The sequence below is a fragment of the Homo sapiens genome, chromosome 1 (assembly GCF_000001405.40).
Source record: "Homo sapiens chromosome 1, GRCh38.p14 Primary Assembly".
Classification (NCBI taxonomy): domain Eukaryota; kingdom Metazoa; phylum Chordata; class Mammalia; order Primates; family Hominidae; genus Homo; species Homo sapiens.
The window spans coordinates 10,837,826-10,857,836 of NC_000001.11; the positions used below are offsets into that span (position 1 = coordinate 10,837,826).

General features: G+C 51.3%; 2 annotated features.

Moving 5' to 3' along the window:
* Window positions 321-928: an enhancer, noted in NCBI's record as "H3K27ac-H3K4me1 hESC enhancer chr1:10898203-10898810 (GRCh37/hg19 assembly coordinates)". NCBI's record gives its function as "activates a minimal SCP1, AML or CMV promoter by ChIP-STARR-seq in naive H9 embryonic stem cells {active_cell/tissue: H9 hESC(naive)}" and the evidence as "EXISTENCE:reporter gene assay evidence [ECO:0000049][PMID:30033119]".
* Window positions 2,111-2,611: an enhancer, noted in NCBI's record as "H3K4me1 hESC enhancer chr1:10899993-10900493 (GRCh37/hg19 assembly coordinates)". NCBI's record gives its function as "activates a minimal SCP1, AML or CMV promoter by ChIP-STARR-seq in primed H9 embryonic stem cells {active_cell/tissue: H9 hESC(primed)}" and the evidence as "EXISTENCE:reporter gene assay evidence [ECO:0000049][PMID:30033119]".

The following is a 20,011-nucleotide window of genomic DNA, read 5'->3' on the forward strand; positions in this document are numbered from 1 at the left end:
CAAAACAAAACAAAGAAGAAGAAGAGGAAGAAGCCTGTGGGCTCTTCCCTAGACCAGGACGGGGGTAGCAGCTGGAAGGAGGTGGACTCATGGACCTTGGACGGGCCTTGGCGTTACAGAGATCTGGGTTCAAACCCAGGCTCTGCCTCACACTAGTGTCTGACCCCAGCCATTCATTCATATGACTTCGCCAGGCCTCGGTTTCCTCATCTATAAAATGGAAAGAATAATAGCAAGAGCCCTGGCTTCATGGGGTTGTTGGGATGGGACTATGCCCCAGGACCCAGCCTAGCCCGGGCACAGGGTCGGAGCTAGAGACAAACACTGTTGTGGGTGCTCAATGGGCTAAGAAGGAGCATCTCGCCTGCAGGAACGGTTGCAGGGAGGCAGCTGAGGCTTGAAGCGTTTAGGGGATGCACCTAAGCTCACACTGCTAGTGAGAAAAAGAGCCAGGATTTGCACTCAGGTCATCCTCCTTCCTGGGCTCTTAGCAGCCTCTGGTGCACAGTGGTGGGAGGGAAGGCCAAGGGAAATCAGTGATGTGGCTCAGGGGCACTGAGGCCACTCCCAGGTCCCTCCCAGGCACCGCTGGCCCCCCAAGGGACCCCCACCAGTGGGTTCAGGGCCTGACAGTGCCCGCCTTACTCCTGTTGGCGGCACCAAAAGGCGGCAGATGAGGGATGAGGGGACCTGGCTCCCCCTTCCAGTCACTCCTGAGCTTGGCTGGGTTCCTTCCCTCCGGTCCCCCACTTGCTCTTCTAGGAACAAAGGCAGCACGGGCACATCCCCACTTCCTGGCGGTGTTGATTTTCTAATTCTCTACCCCTCAATTACCGCTTCCTGAGGGAGGCATTACCCTGGGAGCAGCCGCCTGCCTGGCCCAGAGGCTGCAGAGGGCGTTTGTGGTAGGGCGTCCCCATCCTTCAGGGAAGCCCACAGGGGGCCTGGCTGGGCCCTGGGCACTGGCCCCTTGGAAGTGCCTCAGGAAGTGCACCAGCCTCCAGGAAGTGTGCTTTCCAGTTGGGGCGCTCCATGGCCCTGCCCCTGCACCCCTTCAGGATCCTGGTCCCTTGGCCCAGACAGCCGCACGTCCACAGGCTCCCACACGGTCAAGGCCAAGCAAGGGCAGGCATGCGTGTGGGTGTATGTTAACCCTTGTAAGTGATTCATGTGTGTGAGCCAGCATGCAAAGGTGTAAGTGCATACGAATGTAGAAAACGAGAATGTGGATGTGTATATGTGACTGCGTGTGTAACGGTGCATGTGTGCAAAGCTGAATGTGGCAGGTGTCTGTGCACACATGTGTGGGTCAGTAATGAAAATGACTGCATGAAGGAGTGTGCAGGTGCGTGCAGGTGTGTGCGGTGTGAATAGGTTTGTGCGTATTTGTGCATGGGTAAGTGTGTTTTGGACTGAAAATGAGTGTGCAAGAGTGTGACTGAGTGTAAGTGTGAGTGTGGACAGGGCCAACTGAGGCCAGGGTAGGGGAAGGGGACCCCTGACTCCCAAGCACGGAGGCTGCTGGGTCTGGCAGTGCAGAGAGGACTGGGGGGATGGTGGATGGCCCCAGCCCAGCACTGCAAGAACCTCAGACCTCCAGCCCGCTTCCTGCTGGACGGGAGCTCGCATCCTCCCTGTCAAAAGGAAGGAAGTGCTCACCTAGGGCAGGTGGTCCGGCTGGCAGCAGATGCAAAAAGACTGAGTGGTGATTTGCATTTTCATTTGCATATATTTCCTTAGGTCCCACTGATTGGTTATTTGAAAGTCCCCAATTCCTGCCAACCCTGTCTGCTTGCAATGGCCCTGTGGGGTGGGAGTGGAGGTGGGGAAAGTGCAGTTGGGCACTGCTTGGCTGAGAGCTGAGGCTTGTCCCTGAGGCCTGAGGCTAATCCACAGGTCTGGTCTGGGTGGGACAGGGTGCTCGCTGAGAATCAGGCCCGTAGGGATTGCTCAGTGGCACAGAGCAGGTAACAGTCCCCAGGCCTCGCCTAACACAGAAAGTGCTCAGCCAGCTCTTTCGTCAATAGATGAGCAAAGCGTGGATGGGGCAAAATGAGCGTCGGCTGCCCAGTCTGCTCAGATCTTCAGGTGGGGTCTCAGTGATAGGGTCCTCAGCACTGCTGAGATGGCACCTGGTCCCCTGGGCCAGTGTGGCCAGCCCTGGGGGTGGATGTTGGGGAATCTGAGAGGCTGCCGATCAGATGCTGCCAGCTTCACCTCCTGCCTTCCCACTCCACCTGGGGACCAGGCGCCTGGCTGTGCATTTGTGGAAACTCTGTTTCCACAGCCACCCAGAGGGCAGGCAGCAAGAGGCTGAGGAGTTCTCAAAAAGGAGGAAAGTGCTGCTAGTCCCAGCAGAGGGCTGAGTGTGTGTGCGTGGCCTGCGTGCACAAGCATGCCTGTTCAAAAATGCGCGTGCTCCAGTGGGTGGACCCGACAGTCTTGAATACAGGGGAGAAGATGTGCATCTTGACACAGATGTATGTGGATCTGTACGTCTGTGTGCACAGGTGTGCATCTGTGTGCTGTGTGTGCGCTCACTCATGTGTCAGGGAAAATCGAAGTTTTCAGTGTGAAAGGCCTCTATGGCCCCTTTCCATTTGCCTTTTTGCTAAATTACGTAACCTCCCCCTAGAGTGAACAGCATGGCTTGACAACAATAGGGCTTTTGAAATGTCCTCTCTTCAGAAACACATTACACACATGTATGTGGAGACGTGAACATCTGTGTGACTGTATTATTGAGTGTATGCATATCTGTGTGTGCACATGTTATAAATGCACATGTAGGCCGGGCATGGTGGCTCACACCTGTAATCCCAGCACTTTGGGAGGCCGAGGTGGGCGAATCGCAAGGTCAGGAGATTGAAACCATCCTGGCTAACATGGTGAAATCCCATCTCTACTAAAAATACAAAAAAAAATTAGCCAGGCCTGGTGGTGGGCACCTGTAGCCCCAGCTACTTGGGAGGCTGAGGCAGGAGAATGGCATGAACCCAGGAGGTGGAGCTTGCAGTGAGCCGAGATCACGCCACTGCACTCCAGCCTGGGCGACAGAGCGAGACTCTGTCTCAAAAAATAAATAAATAAATAAAATAAATGCACATGTACATGTACCTTCCACGCACATTGACTGTAAACATGCTCATGTTAACAACCAAGGCTATTGCATACACAGGGGCACATGTGTGTTCCCATGTATCGTTTGCCCATGGGACTCCTGTGGGACTCCTGTGCAAGCTGTGTGCAGGCATGCATGGGAGATCTCCCCGATACAGTAGAGAGGTCACTACTAGAGTAGAGTGGGTGTCCAGAGGGTCCCGTGGGTACATGTGTGCCCCGGGCTGTATCTGCACACGTGTGTGAGTGCAGGGGGTGTGCGTGACTGTGCGCAGTAGGTGTGTGTACAGTACAGCATGTGTTTGCATATCGGGAGTTGGGGATGTTTAGTAATTAAATCCCTTTTCATCCTTCTGCACCTGTCTCCTGAAAGCTGAGAGAACAGACGTCAAACGGGACAAGGGCTGGATTGAATACAGCCAATTCTGAAATATTTATTAGCTTGCGACTCCGCTCAATGGAGGAGAAGGAATGCCAGCTAATCCACCCAGCAGTGCTCACAGCAGGGACGTTTTTCAACAGGGACTTCTTATATTTCAGCGACTGCCCACTCTGTCCAAAAATGAGAGCGTTTTCATCTGGGTCCATGCAGCATTCTCCAGAACTCTGGTTAGGCATTCACAGGGCAGAAATCAAACCTGAGCTCTTGTTTCTGGGTTCCTGGGGCCATGAAGTTCTCTTCCTCAGACAAAGACGGGTGAACCAGTAGGACCTGGGGTGGAGTGTACCGGTCACCGTTTATAGGACGCTTCCTGTGTTTCAGGCACCGTGTGTGGGCCTTTCCATACATCTTCTTCATCTAAGTCTTCACAAAACCCCAATGAGATAAATGCCGAGTATGACCCCATTTAATACAGTAGGGAGCTAGGAAACGCAGAAACATTCAACAAATGAGAAACAGAGGCCCCCAGTAATGACGCCACTTGCCTGAAGACATAAGCTACTTAGTGGTGGGGCCAGGATGTGAGTCCAGGGAATCAGCACTCCCAAGCTCAAACTCTCACCTTGCTGCCTCCTAATGGAACTATGATGGACCTACTATATGCACTGTGTGGAGAATTCTCGGGGTGCATCTAAGATCATTGAGAAAGAGTGGGGTGGCCCACTGTGGCAGGAGGAGACGGCTGTGTATTTGATGCCCCTCAGCCCTGCCCCACCCCACCCTACACCTGCTCATCACCAAGCCTGCCCTTTTTCTTTTTTTTTGAGATGGAGTCTCGCTCTGTTGCCCAGGCTGGAGTGCAGTGGTGCAATCTTGGCTCACTGCAATCTCCGCCTCCCGGGTTCAAGCGCTTCTCCTGCCTCAGCCTCCCAAGTAGCTGGGATTACAGGCACCTGCCACCACACCCAGGTAATTTTTGTATTTTTAGTAGAAATGGGGTTTTGCCATGTTGGCCAGGCTGGTTTGAACTCCTGACCTCAAGTGATCTGCCCTCCTTGGCCTCCCAAACTGCTGGGATTACAGGCGTGAGCCACAGTGCCTGGCCAAGCCTGCCCTTCTTATAAGTGCAGCTCAATTCCTCTAACTGCTCAGGTCAAAACCTTTAGACTCTCCTTTTACTTCCCTTTCTCTCTACCCTACATCCAAATGTAGGCAAATCCTGGTGTCGCTCCTTTCAGAAGGTACCCAGGATGCAACCACTGCTCATCCTCCCCACTGATGCGGCCCCGTCTGAGTCTCCATCATTTCTCCTTTGAGTGATTGCAGGGGCCTCCTTATGTCTCCCTACTTCCAATCTTACCCCCTACAGTCCAGAGTGGACCCTCTAGAACCTAACTCAGATGATCCTGCTTCTCTTCTCAGGGCCCTCCAATAACTTCTGTGTCACTCATTGTAGAAGTCAAAGTCCTTGCATTGACCACAAAGCCCAACCTCACTGACCTCGTCTCTACCCTCCTCCCAGCTCACCCCCGTGACCCTGGCTGGCCTCTGCTCCTCCTTGAACACAGCAGGCATGGTCTCTTTTCAGGGCAGAAATCAAAGCTGAGCACTTGTTTCTGGGCTCCTGGGGCCCAGTTCCGCAGGCAGAGACTGGCGAGCCAGTGGCTCATCATGGTGGCTCATACCGGTCACTGCTTATGGGGCCCTAGGAGCCCCAGGCTGCTCCCTCTGCCTGGAATCCCTTGTCCAGGTCCCCATGCAGCTGGTTCCCTCGCCTCCCTCAAGGTCTGCTCAAATGCCACATTCTTGGAACCACCTTGTGGAAACAGTGAAAGCCCTTCCTCTGGAGCCCACCATTCTACCATCCCTGTTCCCTTTACCCTTTGTATTTATTTATTTATTTATTTATTTATTTATTTATTTATTTATTGAGACAGGGTTGCACTCTGTCACCCAGGCAGGAGTGTAATGGTGAAATCATAGCTCACTGCAGTCTTAGCCTCTTGGGCTCAAGGGATCCTCCCGCCTCAGCCTCCTGAGTAGCTGGAACTACAGGCATGCACCACCATGCCCAGCTAGTTATTAAAATTTTTTTTTATAGAGACGAGGTCTCACTCTGTTACCTGGGCTGGTCTCAAACTCCTGGACCTGAGTGATCCTCCCACTTTGGCCTCCCAACGTGCTGGGATTACAGATGTGAGGTACTATGCCCAGGCTTTATCCTGTTTTATTGTTCTCCATAGTTTAAATTTCACATTCTAAACACTTGTGGATTTCATTCATTTTACTATTCAACAAATATTTACTGAAAATTTGTGCCAGATGCTATTCTTTCATCACTGGTTTTCAGTAATTTGACCATGATGTGCCTGAATATGGTTTTCTTCAGGTTCCTTCTGCTGTGGAGTTCATTGGGGCTTCTTGAATCGGTGGGTTTATCATTTTCATCAAGTTTGGAAAAGCTTTAGCCATCATTTCTTAAATATCTTTCCCATCTCCATCCTCTTCTTCTGGACCTCCAATTACACATATGTTAGACCTCTTACGTTGTCTCACAGGTCACTGAGGCTCTGATTTTTTTTTCCCCTCTGCATTTCACTTTAGATAGTTTCTATTGCTATGACTTTGAGGTCACTAATATTTTCTTCTACAATGTCTAACTTGCTGTTAATTCCATCCATTGTATTTTTCATTTTGGATGGTGGTTGCATTTTTCAACATTAGAAGTTTTTGAGTCTTTTTAGTATTTTTATTTCTCACATCATGTTCGTGCTTTCCTCTATCTTCTTGAACATGAAGAGTGTATTAGTGGTAGTTGTTCTAAATGTCTGCTAACTCTACCATCTGTGACATTTCTGGGTCTATTTCTATTGATTTGTTTTTTTTCCTGGTTATGGGTCATATTTCCCCCTTTCTTTGCTTGACTGGTAATTTTTATTGGATGCTGGACATTTTTAAAATACAAATATGTTTTTTGAGACAGGGTCTTGCTTTGTCATCCAGGCTGGAGTGCAGTGGTACAAACACAGCTCAGTGCAGCCTCCATTTATCTGGCTCAAGTGATCCTATCCCCTCAGCTCCTCAAGCAGTTGGGACTGCAGGTGCACACCACCACACCTGGTTAATTTTTGTATTTTTGGTAGAGTCAGAGTTTCACCATGTTGCCCAAGCTGGTCTGGAATTCTTGAGCTCAAGTGACTTGCCTGCCTCGGCCTCCCAAAGTGCTGTGTTACAGGCGTGAACCACTACACCCCGCTAAAATACACTTTTAATTTTGGAATAGTTTCAGATTTATAGAAAAGTTGCAAAGATAGTTCAGAGAGTTCCCATACACTTCACATCCAGTTCCCCCATCATTAACATCTTACATTGCTTTGATATATTTGTCAAAACTATGAGCCCGGGAGCTCGAGGTTACAGTGAGCTATGATCTGAGCTCTGATTGTGCCACTGCACTCCAGCCTAGGCAACAGAGCAAGACCTTGCCTCAACTAAAAACAACAAAGAAACAAAAAATTATGTAACTGACATTAGCCCAGTACGTTAAGTAAACTCCAAAGTTTATTTGGGATTCACCAGTTTTCCCATTAATGTCCTCTTACTAGTCCAGTATCTAATCCAGAATTTTATATTGCATTTAATTGTCATGACTCCCTCTGGTCTATGACAATTTCTCAGTCTTTTTTTTTTTTGAAACTGAATCTCACTCTGTCATTCAGGCTGGAGTGCAGTGGCATGATCACAGCTCACTGCAGCCTCAACCTCCCACCTCAGCCTCCCTATTAATGGGGACTACAGGTGCATGCCACCATGCCCAGCTAATTTCTTGTTTGTTATTTTGTAGAGACCAGGTCTCTCTATGTTGCCCAGGCTGGTCACGATCAGTCTCTTCTTGTTTTGCATGACCTTGACGATCTTGAGGTGTATTGGCCAATTATTCTATAGAATGTCCCCGATCTGGGTTTGCCTGTTGTTTTTCTCATGAGTAGATTGGAATTATGGGTTTATGGAAAGAATATCACCACCAAAGTGAAATGCCCTTCTCATCACAGCATATTAGGATAACACCAATGAGGCCAACCCTCATCACTTGATTAAGGTGCTATTGACCAGGTTTCTCCACCAGTAGTAGCAAAGGTACTATTTTTTCCTTTCCCTGTCCTCTTCTTTGAAAGCAAGTCACAAAGTGAACCTCACACTCCAGGGGATGGAAACTAAGCTCCACTTCCTGTCGGAAGAGAATCTACACATATTATTGAGAATTCTTCATGAGAAAGATTTATCTCTTCTCCCTCTTGTATTTATTTATTCAATTGTGTATTTACATCAGTATGGACTCATGTACATTTATTTTGTACTTTGGGGTTATAACCCAATACTACATTATTTATTTTATTGTCCAAATTCTTCCAGCTTTGGCCATCGAGAGGTCTTCAGGCTGGTTTCTGTGTCCCTTTGACATGTCCCCTCCTGTTTTTGGAGCCCTTTCTTTTCCTTCCTTCTTTTCTCTTTTTTCTTTTCTTTTCTTCTTTTGACAGGGTCTCACTCTGTCACCCAGGCTGGAGTGCAGTGGCATTATCACTGCTCAATGCAGCCTCGACCTCCTGGGCTCAAGTAATCCTCCCCCCTCAGCCTCCAGAGTAGCTGGGACTACAAGTGCATGCCACTGTGGCTGACTAATTTTTGTATTTTTTGTAGAGACAGGGTTTTGCCATGTTGCCCAGGCTGGTCTTGAACTCCTGAGCTCAAGAGATTTGCCCACCTCAGCCTTCCAAAGTGCTGGGATTACAGACGTGAGCCACAATGCTTGGCCATAGAATCTCTTTTTTCTTTGTTTGTTTTTGTTTTTGAGACAGGGTCTCACTCTGTGGCCCAGGCCAGCATGCAGTGGCACAGTCACTGCTCACTGGAACCTTAACCTCTGGGGCCCAAGTGATCCCCCACCTCAGTCTCCCAAGTAGCTGGGACCACCACTACACCTTAATTTTTTGTTTGTTTGTTTGGTAGAGACAGGATTTCACCATGTTGCCTAGGCTGGTCTCCAACTCCTGAGCTCAGATGATCTGCCTGCCTCTGGGATTACAGGTATGAGCCACCGCGCCTGGCCTGCTCTTTTTGGTATACAAGATGCTCTGCCTCATCTTGTATTTTTCCAGCTCAGGTCCTAGAATCCACCATTTCTCCTTTTAGTGGAGAATGGTATTAGAAGCCAGGATCTGGCTGGGAGTGCTTGCTGCTACTAGGTTGCCACTGCTGCTAGGCCCTCTCAGAAGACATAACCCTGTATCCGCACATGCCTGTACTTCTTTCTGTATCCATCCATCTGTATGTACATTGAGCTAAGCATGGGTTTGCACTGGTATCTCCAGCTCTAACCCACAGTCCATTCCAGGCTTCCCTCCTTGTTTTTCTGTAAACTTCCTCTCCAGCCACAAGAAATCTGGCTCCCAGCAACCACCATCTATTTACTTATTGTTCAACCAGCATTTAAAATATTACATGGTTGGGGGCTGGATTTTGTTGGATTCCTTTAAATATTGCTGGCTTTGTTCTGGAACACAGCTAAGTTATTTGGAATTGGTTTGCTCCTGTCAAGGCTTGCTTTTAAGTTTTGTTAGCATTAGTTCAGAGCAGCTTTAGTCTAGGGTGAACTCAGCCCCACTACCAAGGCAATGCCCTTCTGGGGTCTCCATCTGATGCCCCACGGAGTACAGCTCTCTCCACTCTGGCCACAGAGAGAGGGAACCCCTCCTCAGATCGCTGCACCGTCTCTCTGTGCACCTCCTTCCTCTCTGGTATTTGCTGCACATAATCTAGTCATTCTACATCCCAGAACCCCAAATTCCATCTCCTCAACTCAATGACTCTATTTTGCCTTTCTGTTTACTGGCCTGGTAATTCTCCAGGAGGTTAGCTGAGACAGTTGCAGGACTCGTCTTTGTTTTCTTTTTTCATTCTTTTTTTTTTTTTTTTTTTTTTGAGACAAGGTCTCTCTCCGTCAGGTTTGGAGTGCTCACCGCAGCCTCCACCTCCCAGGTTCAAGCGCTTCTCTTGCCTCAGCCTCCTGAGTAGCTGGGATTGCAGGCATGCGCCACCACACCAGGCTAATTTTTGTATTTTTAGTAGAGATGGGGTTTCCTCATGTTGCCCAGGCTGGTCTCAAACTCCTGGGCTCAAGTGGTCCACCCGCCTCGGCCTCCCAAAGTGCTGGGATTCCAGGCGTGAGCCACCGTGCCCGGCCTTCTTTGTTTTCCTTTTCTTAGCAATCACCATCCTGTGCTGCTTATTGTCCAATGTCTGAAAACCACTGAGTCATAGATTTTTGTCCAGTTTTCTGGTCCTTATTTTTTAGAATTGAGGTTTTGCTATATTGCCCAGGCTGGACTCAAACTCCTGGGTTCAAGTGATCCTCCCACCTCAGCCTCCCAGGTAGCTAGGACTACAGACATATGCGACCCTACCAGGCAGAGTTTTCTGGTACTTTAATGTGAGAAAGTAAATCTGGCCCTGTTACACCATCATGTCCAGAAGCAGAAGTCCAAACACTGTTCTAGACGCCAGGACACAATAGTAAATCAACTAACAAAAAGCCCCTGCCTATGAAGCTTGTGTTCTAATGCAGGGGTCAGGCACATTCTAATGCGGGCAACCACAGACTTCTACAAAAGGCCAGATGGGCCAAAAGGCTGAGCATGGTGGCTCGTGCCTGTAATCCCAGCACTTTGGGAGGCCGAGGTGGGCAGATCACCTGAGGTCAGGAGTTTGAGACCACCCTGGCCAACATGGTGAAACCCTGTCTCTACTTAAAAATACAAAATATTAGCTAGGCGTGGTGTCATGCGCCTGTAATCCCAACTACTCGGGAGGCTGAGGCAGGAGAATTGCTTAAACTCAGGAGGCAGAGGTTGCAGTGAGCCATGACCCTACCACCGCCCTCTAGCCTGGATAAGAGTGAGACTCTGTCCAGAAAAAAAAAAAAGCCAGATGGTAAATATTTAGTCTTTGTGGGCCAAGAGGTAAAAGTGAGTTAAAACCACATGACTGTGATTTGTAGTGTGCAAAGCAACGGGAGCGCCACATACAGTCTCTGTCGTGGCTGCCTGACTCCACCATTGCAGTACAAAAGCGGCCATAGGCAGCACATAAATGAATGAGCATGGCTGTGTTCCAATAAAACTTTATTTATGGATATTGGAATTTGGATTTCATATCATTTTCACATATCACAAAGTATTATTCTTCTTTTGATGATTTTATAACTACTTAAAAATGTAAAAACCATTCTGAGCTCTCCAGCCACATGCACACAGGCGGTGGCCCAGATGTGGCCGGCTGTGGTTTGCCAACCTCTGATCTAGTGGAAGGGACAGAAAATAATGAAGATAAATAAGTTAAGTATGGCCAGGCACGGTGGTGCATGCCTGTAATCCCAGCGTTTCGGGAGGCTGAGATGGGCGGATCACTTGAGCTCAGGAGTTTGAGACAAGCCTGGGCAACACGGCAAAAACCCCATTGCTACAAAAAATACAAAAATCAGCTGGGCGTGGTGGTGCATGCCTATAGTTCCAGCTACTTGGGAGGCTGAGGCAGGAAGATCACTTGAACCCGGGAGGCGGAGATTGTAGCGAGCCGAGATCGTGCCACTGCACTCCAACCTGGGTGACAGAGCGAGACTGCGTCTTAAAAAAAAAAGAAAACAAAAAGAAAAAGAAAAGAAAAGAAAGAAGTTAAGTATATGGTATGTTAGATAATAAAAGATGTCAAGGAGGGGGAAAAAGGAAAGTAAGGAAAGGGGAAGACCTTAGACAAGGTATCCAGGGAACATCTTGCTGAGAAGGTAACTTTTGTGTCAAAATCGGAAGGAGGCATGAAGACGAGCTCCATGCTTACAGCACATACGAGGCTGATCAGCTATTGGGCTCGTGTCTGCCACCCGGACCAGGCAGAGCTCCCCGAGAACAAGGACTATGTCTGTGTCCTCGGCCCCTGAAACACTGCCTGGCCCCGGTAATTGCATCTGTGCAATGGGGGTGAGGGGCCTGCTGGCGGGCTGAGCTGGGCTGTGTTTCAGGACGTGCTTGTAAACCCCATGGCTCACAGCGGGTGTTTGGTAAGAAAAAATATTTGTATTACTGGACTGACCAAATGAATCCCTGGGCAGGGGATGCCTGGCAGAGCAGGGTTAGAATCCCAGCTCAGCCGCCTTTGCGCTGTGGCACCCAGGAGAGCTCCGTTACCTCTCTGAGCCTGTTTCCTCACTGGTGAAATGGAGTCTCCCCTGCCCCGGGGGCTGCAGGGTTTGTGAAATGGCTTATGGAGTGTGCCTGACTCCACCTGATGCTCTGTAACATTTTACCAAGAAGAGGCTGAAGGGCTGCCCTGGAGTGGCCCCTGAGTTGGAGCTGTGAAGCCAAAGGCCTGCGCTCTCACCTCACATCCATCACCTCCTTCCCCAAAAGCCTGGGACTCCCAGAGCCCAGGGCACAGGGCCCTCCCCACCTTTCACCATAGGGAAGTGGACAGTGGAAGGAGCACTTTTGCAGGAGTCCAGTTCTGACTGCATCACTGCCTCCACTGAAGCCCTGGGCAGGTCACGCCCTTTGCCTGGGCGGCCATCCCTAAAAGAAGGGAAACAAACAAGGCAGGCCCTCCCATTGCCCCAGCAGGACACCCCAGGGAGCACAGGGATGGGAGGGGACACCCGAGTCACCAAGCCTTGGCCTTAACTAGCATGCTGACCTGCTGTCACTCAGCCAACCCTAGCCCCCTGGAAAGGGCTGGGAGTGGGGAAACCCAGGTTTGAGTCTTACCATCGCTGCCTCCTGGCCAAGTGAGCCCAGATTGTCAGAATCAGAGGCTGATGCTGCCCGCAGACAGGGCCGCTCCTCTCTCTTGTCATTCAGCCTAATGTCACCTTCCCCATCTCCATCCCCCATGGAAACCCAGGTCACTGTCACAGCACCTGGTCTTACTGCCCTCTGGGGCTTATCACTGCCTGGTTGCCCTTCCTCCTAGTCTCCTGTCTGTAACTTCCACGAGGACTATAACTCCACGAAGGAAGGCGGTGCCAATGTGGGTCCCATTTGTCCCCACACCTCCAGCCCCTGGAACAGTACAGGTTATAGGTGCTCAGGGAATACTGTTGAATGGATGAAGCCAAGCCCGCTTGGCAATCGTTCAGTCCAGCAACCCCCCCTTCCCCACTATTACGAAGATGGGGGTAGAGTTGAGGACCACATGGGGGAGGGGCTTGCTGAGGGTCACACAGAGGGTTTGAGGCGAAGCAGAGCCTCAACTTTGGGCTGGCTTCCCTACTGCACACAGCTCCTCTCTGAGCCTCAGTTTCCAAGCCAGGACAATGGGGAGACGGTCCCTCCTCCTTGCGGTGGGCTCTCTGGGGGCACGAGGGTGCAGCAGTTAGTTCTGATGAGCTGAAGCTGGGAGGTGGCGGGGACACCTCTTCAGAGCTACCAGGCTTGCCAAGGTGAGGATGTCGGGGCTCTGCCAGGATAAAGCACTTAGCCAGTGCCAGGCACACAGCAGGGCACAGGCAGACACACAACTGCACTTACTCGTTTGGGTTTTTTTCTTTTTTGAGACAGAGTCTTGATCTGTCACCCAGGCTGGAGTGCAGTGGTACAATCTTGGCTCACTGCAACCTCCACCTTCCAGGTTCAAGTGATTCTCCTGCCTCTGCTTCTGAGTAGCTGGGATTACAGGTGCGCACCACTATGCCCAGCTAATTTCTGTATTTTTAGTACAGACAGGGTTTCACCATGTTGGCCAGGCTGGCCTCAAACTCCTGACCTCAAGTGATCTGTCTGCCTCGGCCTCCCATGTGGTGGGATTACAGGCATGAGTAATAACGGTCAGCACCAGGCCCCTGGGCTTACCGTTATTACTGCCCTTCTACCCTTGGGCTTGTTCCGAGGCCCCGTCACAGCCCAGCAATGCGTGTGAGAGAGCTTCGTTCTTTGTGACTCGGCAGGACAGTGCCAAATGTCAGGGCTCAATTTTATTGTTGTTACCAATCGTATTGATACTCTAAGCTTGGGTTACCACCGACTTCCTTCCAAAGGGTATAAAGTGCTTTGCCATCGTCCTCACTCACAGACAAGCCCCAGAGGTAGGCCAGCAGGGAGAACGCTAATCTGATTACCCAGGACCCGAAAGGCGGGGCGAGGGTCTAAGGGATTGTGGCCAGTGACCTTGCTGCTCCGACCCCCACCACCCACGGAGCCAGGAGCCCTTCCTCACCCGCTGCCTGGGTCTGTTGACCAAAACCCAGCCCAAGTTCCCCAGAGCTTGGCTGTCCCTTCCATGCAGATTTCAGGGGAGCCCCCAGCCCCTGGGGTGAGGAGCGAAACAAGCCAAGGGCAGGCAAGGCTGGTTTGGGTCTGATGCCGTTAAATGCGTGGTGCCCCGTCAGCCATTAGCCAGTCTCTAGGGACAGACAGTCAGAACAGTTAAAGGAGCTCAGCCCATAGGAGCCACGGGGCTGTTACATCCCCAGCCCCAAGCCCTCCCCTAGCCGGCCCTAAACTGGCAGCTGAGCCTGGCCTGCTCATATTATCTCCTCTCCTGAGGTCCAGCCTGTGCCCACTCGCGAGTTGAGCGGGGGCACCGACTCTGGGTGGCCCAGGGTCGACAGAGGGGCTGTGAGTCAGCTAGTGAGACCTCAATAATCTACAAATGTGGCAATTTCAGAGCACCCCCTGAGCCAGGTCTGTGCCAGGCACCTGAGGCTAGAGGTAAGAGGCAGGTCCCTGGCTGAAGTGAGCACAGGGCTTGCGGCAAAGCAGAACTCCAGCTTCGGGCTTGGACTCCAACCATCACACCCTCGCCAGCCCCCTTTACAGGCACGGTCTAGCTGTGGAGTGAGGCAGATGACAGATTCCTGCAACACAGCGTGGCCATCGCAGATGCCAGGGCTCCCAGAGGAGGTGGGGTAACCTCATCTGAGGCTGTTCAGGGAAGCTTCTGGGAGAAAGCCACTGAGCTGGCCGGAAGGACAAACAGAGTAACTAAACGTAAGAAAAGGAGAAAGGGGATCCCAGATGAAGTCAGTTTGTCATTGGTAGAGTGAATAACAGACCTCCTGTCAAAGGCTTGCTGTGTTTTAAGAGAGGAGGGGAAAGTTATTTTGAAACTGAATCACAGAATGCACGGGAGGAATTATTCTTCAGGTCCTTATTAAGATGGGTGGGGTCCTTGGGCTCCATTTCCCTCTCTCAGACCCAAAGACCAACCCCAGGACCCATCCTGCTGTGGCTGACGTCCACCTGGAGAGTCCAGGCCCTGTGGGAAGCCTCTAGGTCATGAGGCCTACCCTGACGCCCATGCCAGCTACTAGGCAAAAGACGACTCACCCAAGACACGTGGACAGACTTGGATCTGAGCCCCATGACCTAACTGGTCCCTACTTTATCCAGCACTTGATCCTTCAGGATCAAGGCCTTTTTGCTTCTTCCCTATTTCCCTTCTCACCTAGATTGTCACCCTGGGCATTCAGAGTTGAATTGAGATCTTGACGTTCCCTTATGATCAGGATTAGTATCTCCCACCTTCCTGCCTTGAACTACACTGGGGGAAATACTCCTTTTAGTTGCACTCACCTGTCACCATGACAAACATCATCAGGATCACCATCACCACCTTGCTCACCAAGAGCACCATGAGCACCACCACTACCAATACCACCCTCACTAGCCTCCTCCACTGGTACTAGCACTACCACCATGAGCACCGTCATCACCATGACCATGATCTCTACCACTGCCACCATTACTACCGCCATCACCATCACCATCATCACCAGACCATGATCACCACCCTGATGACCACCACTATCATCATCACCATCGATAGCCTTATTCCACACAACAGGCGCTACCACTACCACCATCACAACTACCACCATGATCACCACCATCACTACCATCAGTACCACCAACACCATCACACCTGTCACCACCAAACAACAACATCATGATCACCACCATGATGACCATCACGACCATCAGCACCATCACCACCATCGATAGCCTCACTCCACACCACAGGCACCACCATGAGCAGCATTGCAACCACCACCATGATCACCAACATCACAATCACCACCATGATTACCACCACCACAACCATTGCTACCATCACTACTGCCATCATTACCATCACTACTACCACTGCCATCACCATCACCATTACTATGACAACCATCACTATCATCACCACCGTCACCACCACCACAACCATTGCTACCATCACTACTGCCATCATTACCATCACTACTACCATTGCCATCACTATCATCATTACTATGACAATCATCACTATCATCACCACTGTCACCACCACCACCATCATCACCATGGCCCTGATCACCATCATTACCATCCCCACAATCACTAGCCTCAGCACAGGCACCAGCACCCCCACTATGATCATCACCATCACCACCACCATCACCACCCTCATCAACACCATCATCACTACCACTATCACCACCATCATCACCACCACCATCACTACCATCACCAGGATGACTGTCACCATCATTATCACTGCCATCATTACCACCATAATCATCACCATCTATCACTACCACTATTGTTATCACCATCATTACCACCATTGCCACCGTCATCATAACCACTACCACTATCAGCATATCACATCACAACCACTACAATGACTACCACCGTCACCACCAAAATCACCACTACTACTATCCTGATCAACATCCACATCACCATCTGCTACCACTGTTGAGTCCTAATTAGGGAAAAGGAGTCAGGCTGGCAGGAGCAGGGGAAAGCAGAAAGAAAAAGCAGATAAGCTCTAAGTCTGCCTTTCTTCATGGTCCAGGACATGTAGCCCTCCTGAGCCCAACTTCTCACCAGACACCTGCAAGTTAGCTCACAGCAACCTTGGCATTATCGGTACTGCACAAAGCCCTCTTCAGCACACAGTACAAGCACCATCCTGTAAAATCCCCAGCAAGCCTTTGTCTCCTTGCAGTCAACTCCTCTGTATTAGTCTGTTCTCAAACTGCTATAAAGAAATACCCAAGACTGGGTAATTTATAAAGGAAAGAGGTGTGCCAGGCGCAGTGGCTCATGCCTGTAAACCCAGCACTTTGGGAGGCCGAGGCGGGTGGATCATGAGGTCAGGAGATCGACATCATCCTGGCTAACACGGTGAAACCCCGTCTCTACTAAAAATATAGAAAATTAGCCAGGCGTGGTGACACGTGCCTGTAGTCCCAGCTACTCAAGAGGCTGAGGCAGGAGAATCACTTGAACCCGGGAGGTGGAGGTTGCAGTGAGCTGAGATTGCACCACTGCACTCCAGCCTGGGTGACAGAGCGAGACTCTGTCTCAAAAAGAAAAAAAAAGAAAGAGAAAGAGATGTAATTGACTCACAGTTCCACATGGCTGAGGAGGCCTAGGAAACTTACAATCATGGTAGAAGGGGAAGCAGGCACCTTCTTCACAAGGCAGCAGGAGAGAGCCAAGTGAATGAAGGAGGAACTTCCAAATACTTCTAAAATCACAAGATCTTGGAGAACTCACTCACTATGATGAGAATAGCATGGGGGAAACCGCCCCATGATCCAGTCACCTCCCACCAGGTATCTCCCTCAACACCTGGGGATTACAATTCAAAATGAGATTTGGGTGGGGACACAAAGCCTAACCATATCATCCTCTCTTCCTGGTCTGCCCATTGCACTCTTGCAGCGTCTTTTCATACTTTCTCTAATATGTCTGCCTTTCTTTACCTACAGTTGTCTTGGTAAAGTCTTCTTACTGCCCTCGTGATGCCGGTCTCAGATAGTCACTGCTCACCCGAGACAACTACCATCTTCAATTCCATCATCATCCACCATCATCGTCATCACCCTCCTATTCTCCCTCCTCATCTTTCTCAGTCATCACCATCACCACCTTCATCATCCTTCAACAACACCATCTTGTCCTCCTACATGACCAGTACGAAAGGACCTTATAGGTTTATTTTCCCCTGGGGACCAGTTGTCATGTGGAAGATCCCTGCTCTCTGGGGTTTCTGAATCGAAGGCCAGCACTGCTGCTGGCGATAGGCACGGGGATGATGGGATCCTAAAGTCTTTCCTTCCCTACCACTCCTGCTGAGACCCCTGAGCTCTGGCCCAGATGACTGCAATTCCCCATGGGCCGTGTTTGCCTCTGTGCCCTGCCCTGTCAGTTTCCTTGGCCTGGAATGTGCTTCCCCTCATAACCTCCATGGTGGACTCAAGAGTCAGCCCTCCCAGGAAGGGTTTCGACTCCAAGTCTGGGTTGAAAGCCCTTTCTCAGGAGCCAAGGCACCTGCGGTTCACTTGTCTTGTCACTTGTCTGTCTGCCCCACTAGAGGGTGAGCTCCTTGCGGGCAGGGCTGGGTTTCCTTCAGCTTTCTATCCCTGGCACAGTGCCTGGCTCAGAGGAGGAGCTCAAAAAATATTTGTTGAACAAATGAATGCTTGTTAAATAAATGTGTATGAAATGTTGCAAATCATGAATCAGAGAGCTTTTGGCAGAGAAGAAGAGACAGAAAGTCTCTATACTCACCAGGGTGGAGCCAAGGACGGCGAGAAGTGGGAAGCTAACTGTGGAGGGGAATGGGGTTGGGGGCTTGATAAGGCTTCCCTTGGGAGGGGAGGTCTGACTCAGATACACTCTGTCAGCCAAGGAGTCCTCTCAGTCCACAGCCTCTGGGGTGGGGTGTTAGGGGGAAGTGGGGTCAGGGGTCAACTGCCCACCAGGCTGGCACTCTCCCCTGGGACCCCCAGCCTGGGCGAGGGAGGGGGAAGCGGGTCAGGCCCCTCCCTGCCTAGTGCACAGTGGCCTCCACTCGACCCCTTTAAGACAGCCTGGGCGGCTTCCCTTTGCTTGTTGAAACTGTTCAGTTTTCGGACAGGACAGGGGAGGGGGGCGGGGGGGAGGTCACACCTGTTGTGGAACTTGAGAGAAGGCTTATTTATAAATGTTCAGGGCTCGGGATTCTTGCGGAGCTGATGTCCGGAGGGGAAGGTCACCAAAATGCTTGTTTATAGAAGCAACAGCAACTGGGAACACCATAAACGGGCTAAACGATGAAATTAACAAGCCATCTGAGGCGGGGCATGGCGGGGCACAGCCAGGCCTCCGTTGGCCAGGGCGCTGCTGCTGGGCAGAGCCCCAGACCTGCCTCCAAGCCAGGGCCCTCCCAGGCCCCAGCCACCCTGCCTGCCCCCAAAACACCGGCCCAGCTCAAGTGCCACCCCCACCCCACGCCAGCCCTTGCCCCGTCCTCACCCAGGGGCATGTGGTTCACACAGCAGCTCCTCCAAGGCACAGTCCTCGCTGTGCCACCCCAGCAAGAGCTGGTTCTTCACCACCCCCAAGGTGGGCATTTCTGCAGGGGCCCTCACTGCCACCCAAATCCCCCCAAATGTACCAGGATGGTGCCTAATTGGGAGTGTACTTTTTTATGGCTCTTGAAGGCCAGACTTGGGCCTCCAGCCTGCCTGGGAGTGGGCCCAGAGCCCCGTGGAAGTGTCAGAGAGAGGGCATTTCCCCCTGCTCACCCCCTCCTGGGACTCTCTGTCCGATTCCCAGTTTCAGGAAAGCTGTATTTTCCTTGGGTGACTGATGGCTGAACAGGTGGCTTCTGGGTTAGAGAGTGTCAAGTGAACAGCGGCAAGGAGAAGTGGCCCTGCCATGGCTCACTTTCGCTGCCTGCCTGGCCCTGGGCTGCTGACAGCTCCCTGGCCTCCCCTGCTGAGGGCGTGTGTCTGGCCGCCCCCCACCAGACACCACCCCGGCCCTGCAGCCCACTAGCCGGGGCTGTCTGCACGCAGAGTCCTGACAGCTGAGGGGGAAACTGGGCCCTGCCCTCTTCCACACGCCACACCCGTGATCACAGACACACGAGCGTAGTCACATGAGGAGACCACTCGTGTTCCTCATGGAAAGCGCCTGCCCCCAACTTTCCAATTTTCCATCGAATTCACCGAATGACCCTGAGCCTAGCAGTGTGTCTTGTGCACCGACGGTCCCAGAGCCGACACGCACGGACACGCCGGGCTCCACCTGCCTCCACCTCCTGCGTTCTGGTCCCCCCCTCTGCGTTCTGCAGAGGCCCCTGGCCAGGCACCCCACTTCTTGGCTTCAGTATCCCTCTGTGTGTCTCTGTCTCTGAGAGACTCTCTCATCATCTCTCTCTCCCTCCCGTTCTCTCCTTTCTCTTGCTCTCTGTCTCTGTCTCTCCATCTTTTGTTAGATAAATTGCTACCTCTTTTTGTCTCTCTCTCTTTCTCTCCATCTGCTTCCTGCCTTGGTGTCTACCTCTTTCTGTCTCTCGCCTCCCTGACTCTCTTCCTCTCTCTCCGGCTCTGTCTCTGTCACAGACATCCCCCCCGCCCCCACCCCCAGCACATGGCCTCCGTAACTGGAAGTCCCATCCTCTGGCATCAGCGTCATCGGATCTATTTTCTCCCTCAGCCAC